The sequence below is a fragment of the Homo sapiens genome, chromosome 12, assembly GCF_000001405.40.
Source record: "Homo sapiens chromosome 12, GRCh38.p14 Primary Assembly".
NCBI classification, from domain to species: Eukaryota; Metazoa; Chordata; class Mammalia; order Primates; family Hominidae; genus Homo; species Homo sapiens.
The window spans coordinates 128,061,101-128,068,766 of NC_000012.12; positions in this window are offsets into that span (position 1 = coordinate 128,061,101).

The window sequence follows — 7,666 nt, forward strand, 5'->3', positions numbered from 1 at the left end:
ATATTCCTTTAGATATCTCAAGACGCTCATAAATTTAATATATTCAGCTTCTTTTTAAGCAATATATACACCTAATTAATGTGGAAAGCTCTTGCAAGTACTTAAACAGCCCTAGTAAATCTCACAAATAAAACTTACTGAGGACTCTCAAGTTCTCTTAAACATTCCAATCTTGTTCGTAGTTAGGTAAATTATCTTATACTTTTCATCTTCAAATAAAAAGACCTAAAATTGATTTTTAAATGCCTGTTTTAGCTGAAATCACAAGGCTTATCTCTAAACTAATGTGATAAATTAACTTAAATATTATAAACACTTTACATGCAAAATATATCCCCTTAATTCTATGCTTTACACCAGAAATATTAATAAACACAGTTTATCACCACTATTTTCAATTATTCACCCTTCTGGATTCTACACTTACTGAGAAAATGATTTCATCCACTCCAGCAAGCTGAGGCTACCTTCCCAAGCAAATTGGGAGCCACCATCTCATCATCACTGGGATTTTCTCTTCGACGGGCCGAAATTGGTGGCTGAACAAAATTTCTGGCCAGAACAGGTGGATCTGAGCCCCCAAACACTGGAGTGGTTGTTCTCACCACTTCACTCACGCTCTCCTAGAGTGTCCACGGGAGGGGCCTCCAAGTCCACACCCTCCAATCCGCCTGCTTTGGATCTGAGTCTCATGTTAGCTAATTCCAGTTTGAGTCTGAACCCTCTCTGCAAGGTTGGTTCACCCCAGTGGGATTCAACAGATCTGTTTACTACTCCATCCTGTTCTGAACCCTTCCTGCGTTCTCCCTGCCTGGCTGCGCAGTGAGCTCACAGATACTGGGATGACATGTACTTGGTTTCTTCTCATGTTTCCAGCTTACTCTAACCTTGAATGTCTCAGGTAATCCCAAAGACACCTGCATTTGAGACTTCTTCCACCTCCACCTCTCCAGGAACTGAAATGCTCTGTTTTTTTGAGACACGGTGTCACCGTGTTGCCCAGGCTGGAGTGCAGTGGTGCCGTCACAGCTCTTTGCAACCTCCACCTCCCAGGCTCAAGTGATCCTCTCACCTCAGCCTCCCAAGTAGCTGGGATAACAGGCGTGTGCCACCACACCTGGCTAATTTTTGTATTTTTAGTAGAGACAGGGTTTTGCCGTGTTGCCTAGGCTGGTCTCAAACCCCTGACCTCAAGTGATCGGCCTGCCTCAGCCTCCCAAAGTGCTGGCGCGAGCCACCATGACTGGCCCTGAAATGCTCTTGTAAGGACCCCCAGGGTCCTCTGTCGAAAATCAAGTGCACACGGTTCAGTCTTGCTCTTACCTGATGGCTCATTCCTGATTGAAACTGGGCTTTCACGATGCCAGCTCTTTCTCATTATCCTATTATTTCTAATTATTCCTCATTGTGTTTATTTTAATTTTATTTATTTTTATTTAATGTTCACATGGGGATTTGAGCACATATGGAGAAGTACTTATAAACATGGTGTAATTACTTACACTTGCTTAAGCCCTCAAATAATCATTTGTAACATTAATAAATGTTCTTAAACCTTAGAAGCTAATTTTTCAAATGTATTATGCCTGGGTTTTTCTGAGACTTAATAGATATTGAATAGCAGAATCCACAAACACACAATCATTTTTTAAAAAATATTGCTATCTATGGTAAGCAGTCATCTCAGTTTCCAAGGAATTGGAGAAACAGGGGACTCCCAGGAAGGGGGACTTTCAGTGCTAACACCCAGGAAGTCCCAGACAGACTGGGGCATATTAGTCTCTCTGTTAGTACTTCAGCTCCTTCCAAAACTTTAACTCCATCAAATGAATGCATTTCATCATTATTTCCAACCTTGACTTTAAGAATATTTTTAAAGTTAAATAGCTGTATAATTAATAGAAGGAATAAAATATCCACATACAAACACCCACTACTCATTAAAGTAAGCAAAACATTATACACATACATATTCTTACTTTTTTATCAACTTTTTTCCTTTAAATAGCATTATTAACTCATTGTCTTTTACTTACTGAATTTATTTTAGTAAACCAAAATTGTTGTCATGATTATTAGGATTATTTTGTTGTTGTCACTTGAGATCATCACAAAAGGATCAATCAGTGAGAGCTATGGAGGGTTTTTTTGTTTGTTTGTTTGATGGAGTCTCACTCTGTCACCCAGGCTGGAGTGTAATGGCATGATCTCAGCTCACTGCAACCTCCACCTCCTGGGTTCAAGTGATTCTCCTGCCTCAGCCTCCTGATTAGCTGGGATTACAGGTGCCTGCCACCACCACGCCCGACTATTTTTTGTATTTTTGGTTGAGATGGGGTTTCACCATGTTGGTCAGGCCAGTCTCTAACTCCTGACCTCGTGATCCGCCCACCTCAGCCTCCCAAAGTGCTATGAAGTTTTTAAAACAAGTCCGCAAATCCCTAGATATTCCTACCTTCAAGAGGCAATACCTGCCTCCTTCCACTTGCAACTGGGTGAACCTTAGTGACTTGTTTACAACCAATGGAAGGTAGATAAAATGACCCTTCAGTACATGATTTTTGACATTATATTTTAAAAAGATGCAGCTTCTACTTTGCTCAATGGAACAATCACACTGGAGGACTGAGCCACCTGGTAGGAAGACCACTTAATCTGAAACCACTTTATCTGAAACCACTTTATCCCACCATATTGTGAGGAAGCCCAAGCCGCGGGGTCAGCCTCTAGCTGGGGTCCCAGCCAAAGGTTATCACCAATCACCCAGTGGGAGAGTAATTGGATTCACTTGATTCCAGTCCCTGGCCATTGACCCTTCCCAGATAAGTCCCCACACATCTTGAACAGAAACAAACCATTCCCATGTTCCTTGTCTGAATTTCTGACCTGTAGAAACCTTGGATAAAATAAAACAATTATTTTGTAAGAATTTGCAAGTTTTTGCATGGCTTCTTCCTGCAACAAGAGCCTTTCACTGATGTTGGTTTCTTTGTCGTTCTTAAGGCTCCCTGCAGCCATCTCTAGAGGCTCGGTTTAGTCATCATTTCCACCCAGTGGCCTCCACCCTAGATCTGGATGAGGATGGGCCCCAACATTGTGTTTCCACATCACCCCGGGCATGCCGTCCTGTCCTCCCCACACGGTTTGATCTTTACATCCCTCTGTGTCTATTTCTCCCACCATCATGTGAGTGCCTCATCCAGGAGGGACTGCATCGGGTCCTCCTCACCTCTGAGCTCTCATCTCCTTCCTACCTTAGTCCATGGCAGTGAATGAGCATCCAATAAATCCATTTCTAATTTGTCTTGAAAAGAGACAACTGGGGTCTCGGATGAAACCACGCAAATCACAATGTTCTGAATGGATATCAAAGAGTGGCCTCATTAATTAGATATAGGACAGGGAGCAAAAGCTGTGTTCTTGAATAAAATTGTCTGTAAATAGCTAGACTTAAAGCAACTAGTGTGATTAGATCAAGAAAGGTATCAGAAAAAAGAAAAAAGCAGCTTTGTATTTACAAAAAAAGAAGAGAAAGGATTTTCATATATAAAAGCAGTAGGCACTCAGAATCCAGAATTGATGCAACAAACAAGGTGAGGCTCTTTTTTAAGAAGTGATTCGTTATCTAGACCAGGTGACATTTATTGTCTACCTAGTCAGATATTTAAAATAAGATTTTTGACAAGTAGAAAAATATGTTCCAGGCTTGTCTTCTAAGTAGGCAAAATATTAACTTGAAAGAAATTATTCGTTTGTACAACTCAAAGGAAAAATAGAACAGAAAGGGAAAATAGAACAGAAAGAAAAAAAAACTATAAAGAAAGGAATTTCATCTGGCTTTGAAGAGTTACCTATTCCTTAGGTGATTAAGCAAAGAAGAAAGAAGGAAAACATACTGTAAGGAACAGAAGGAAGAAGAAAAGGAAGGAAAAAAGGAAAGAGAAAAGAGGCAAAGAAAGAGAAAGGACAGAAGAAAGACGGGGAATTCTATGGGTGATCTCTCAAGGGAATATTTTAGCGCCTTTGGCAGGGAGCAAAGATAAAATCAAAGAATGATTTTCTCTTGTGTATACTAATTATGTGAAATGGATCATCTCTAAAGTCTGCACCACTAAAATTAGAAACACACTCAGGAGGTGTTTAGATAAATACATGGATAATTGTCAGAAAATTTATTTATTTTTAATTTTATTTTTTTGAGATGGAGTCTGGCCCCGTTGTCCAGGCTGGAGTGCAGTGACATGATCTCAGCTCACTGTGACCTCTGTCCCCCAGGCTCACGTGATTCTCCTGCCTCAGCCTCCCGAGTAGCTGGGATTACAGGTGTACACTGCCACGCCTGGCTTTTTTTTTTTTTTTTTTTAGTAGAAATGGGGTTTCAGCATGTTGGCCAGACTGGTCATGAACTCCTAATCTCGAGTGATCTGACCACCTTGGCCTCTCAAAGTGCTGGAATTACAGGTGTGAGCCACCGTGCCTGACCCATGAAATTTAAATGACTATATATTAATTTAAAGGTGATATGGTTTGGCTGTGTCCCCACCCAAATCTCATCTTGAATTGCAGCTCCCACAATTCCCACATGTCATGGGAGGGACCCAGTGGAAGGTAATGGAATCCTGGGGGCAGCTCTTTCCTGTGCTGTTCTCATGATGGTGAATAAGTCTCACATGATCTGAAGGTTTTATAAAGGGGAGTTTTCCTGCACAAGTTCTCTTCTCTTGTCTGCCACCATGTGAGACACGACTTTCACCTTCTGCCATGATTGTGAGGCCTTCCCAGCCACATGGAACTGTGAGTCCGTTAAACCTCTTTCTTTTATAAATTGCCCGGTTTTGGGTATGTCTTTATCAGCAGCGTGAAAACGGACTAATACAAAAGGTCTTTCATAAAAGCTTCTTTAATATGTTGAGTTTCAAGGGCATGGTGGTGAAAGCTCTAGAGTAGCTTTTCCCGTGGCTAACTCCTATGACTCGGCTTTGCGTGATCAGCATCCTAAGTGAAACAAAGCCGTCTAAAAATCCACATCCACTGGGAACCCCAGAATGTGCCCCTGAGTGGACATAGGGTCTTTGCAGATGTAATTAGTTAATATGAGGTCATGCAGGATTAGGGTGGGCCATAAACCCAATAGAACTGGTGTCATTACAAGAGGAGGACACTCACAGACACCGACCCTCAGAAAAGAAGGCCAGGTGAGGATGGAGGCGGAGACGGGAGCGACGCAGCCACCAGCCAAGGAAACCCAGGAGTGCTATGGGCTGGAAAAGGTGAGGAGGGGCTCCCCTAGAGCCTGCAGAGAGAGCGTGGCCTGCTGACATGGAGATGTGGGACTCTAACTTCCAGAGCTGTGAAAGAATACATTTCCGGTGCTTTAAGCCCTGCTATGGACTGAACTGTGTCTCCCACAAAATGTATGTGTTGAAGCCCCCAATGTGACTGTACATGGAGGTAGGGTCTTTAGAAGGTAATTAAAGAATTCAGCTTAAATGGGGCCACAGGGGTGGGGCCCTAATCAGGCAGAACTGTGGTTTTATAAGAGGAAGATTAAGACTGTGGTCTCATAAGAGAAAGAGAAAAGGAAGCTTCTCTCTTTCTCCTCTCTCTCTCTCTCTTTCTCCCCTCTCCCATGCCCTCTTATCCCCACGTGAGGATACAGTGAGAAGGCACCATCTATAAGCCAGGAAGAGAGCCTTCAGCAGAACCCGCCCATGCTGGCACCTTGATCTCAGATCCTCAGCCTCCAGAAGTGTGAGGAAATAAATTTCTGTTGCTTTGTCCACCGAGTCCGTTGTGTTTTGTTTAGCAGCCTGTGCAGACTAAGACAGCAATTCAGATTGTGGTCATTTGTTTTGGAAGCACAGGAAACTAATATAATCAGATTGTCAAAGTTTATGGAGAACCGTAGGCATTGTTATGATGTCTGAAGTGGAGATGGCATATTCAAATGTTGATTCATATCCAACACTCACTCACCTGGACACAGATTGGGAGGAGAAAAGTTTATTCTTCTCTGAGATTACAGGGAAAAGTGCCCTTTTTCTTCACGGGAAAACAAATTCCCAGAAGGTTTTTTTTTTTTTAGAAAATGTCTCCCTCTGTCACCCAGGCTGGAGTGCAGTGGCACCATCTGGGCTCACTGTAAACTCCACCTCCTAGGTTCAAGTGATCCTACCACTTCAGCCTCCCGAGTAGCTGGGATTACAGGCATGTGCCACCATGCCCAGCTAATTTTTGTATTTTTAGTAGAGACGGGGTTTCGCCATGTTGGCCAGGCTGGTCTCGAACTCCTGACCTCAAGTGATCCTCCCGCCTTGGCCTCCCAAAGTGCTGGGGTTACAGGCATAAGCCACCATGCCCAGCCTCCAGAAGTGTTTTCTTAATATATGTTTTCAGCACAGGTACAGCTTAATCCTCTTTTTTTGGCTCTTGACCTCATCAGTGGAGAGGAACCATAGGAGACAGGGAACAGGGTTCTCTCCAGCAATCCATGGAAATGAAGAGTGACTGAAGGCAAAGCTCTCTGCTAGCAGGGGGGTCGTCCTCCACCTTCTCAGAGCCCCAAACATGCAAGTAACAGCCTCTGCTCTTCCCGGATCTGCGGGGACCATCTTTAAATGACAGCTCTGGTGTGGAGTGACTGGATGTATGCTGGTGGGAGGGGTGTGGGAATATCCAAACTCAGAGGTAAGAAAAGGGAGAAAAAATCTCTCCTCTCATTGGAGCCAAAGCAGAAGGTGAAAAGGTGCATTGGCGAGACTGTAACATAAGGAAAGGAAGGAGGAAGAGAAGGAAGGAAGAAAGGAGCAAGGAGGCAGAGAAAGGAGGCAAGAAAGGGTGGAAATTTTATGGCTGATCTCTCAAGGGGATATTTTAGTCCCTTTGGCAGGGAACAAACATAAAATCAAAGAATAATTTTCTCCTGGGTATACTAATTATGTGAAATGCATCGTCTCTAAAGGCTGCACCGCTAAAATTAGAAATAGAGGCATCAACAGACTTGCCCTTACAAATAGAGTCATCAATAGACTTGGCCTAATAAAGCCCCACAAACTGGGGGTCTTGAAACCACAGAAGTTCCTTGCCTCACCATTCTGGCGGCTGGAAATCCAGTATCAAGGCCGTGGGGCCACATTCCCTCTGCAGGCAGGTGCTAGGGAAGGATATACTCCCTACCTCTCTACCAGCTTCCAGTGGTCACTTTGCTTGCGGCAGCAGAACTCCAGTTTCACAGGGCGCTCTTCCTGTGTGCATGCCGGTCTCTGTGAATAAATGTTCCCTTTTGGTAGAGATGCCAATCATACTGGATTAGGGCCCAGCCTAGTGACCTTATTTTAACTTGATCATCTGCTGCCTCAGTCCAGGCTGCTAGAATAAATGTCCTAGACCGGGTGGCTAAAACAACAAATGTTCATTTCTCACAGTTCTGGAAGCTGGAAGTCCAAGATCAAGGTGCTGGCTGATTCAGTTCCTGGTAAGAACTTACTAAGACTTCCTGATTTGCAGACAGATCCTTCTTTCCTATGTCCTCACGTGGTGGAGAGCTAGATCATGTCTCTCATATATCTTCTCATTAGGGCACTAACACCCGTCATGTCGGCTCCGCCCTCATGACCTGACCACCTTCCAAAGGCCCCACTTCCTACCACCATCACATTAGAAATGA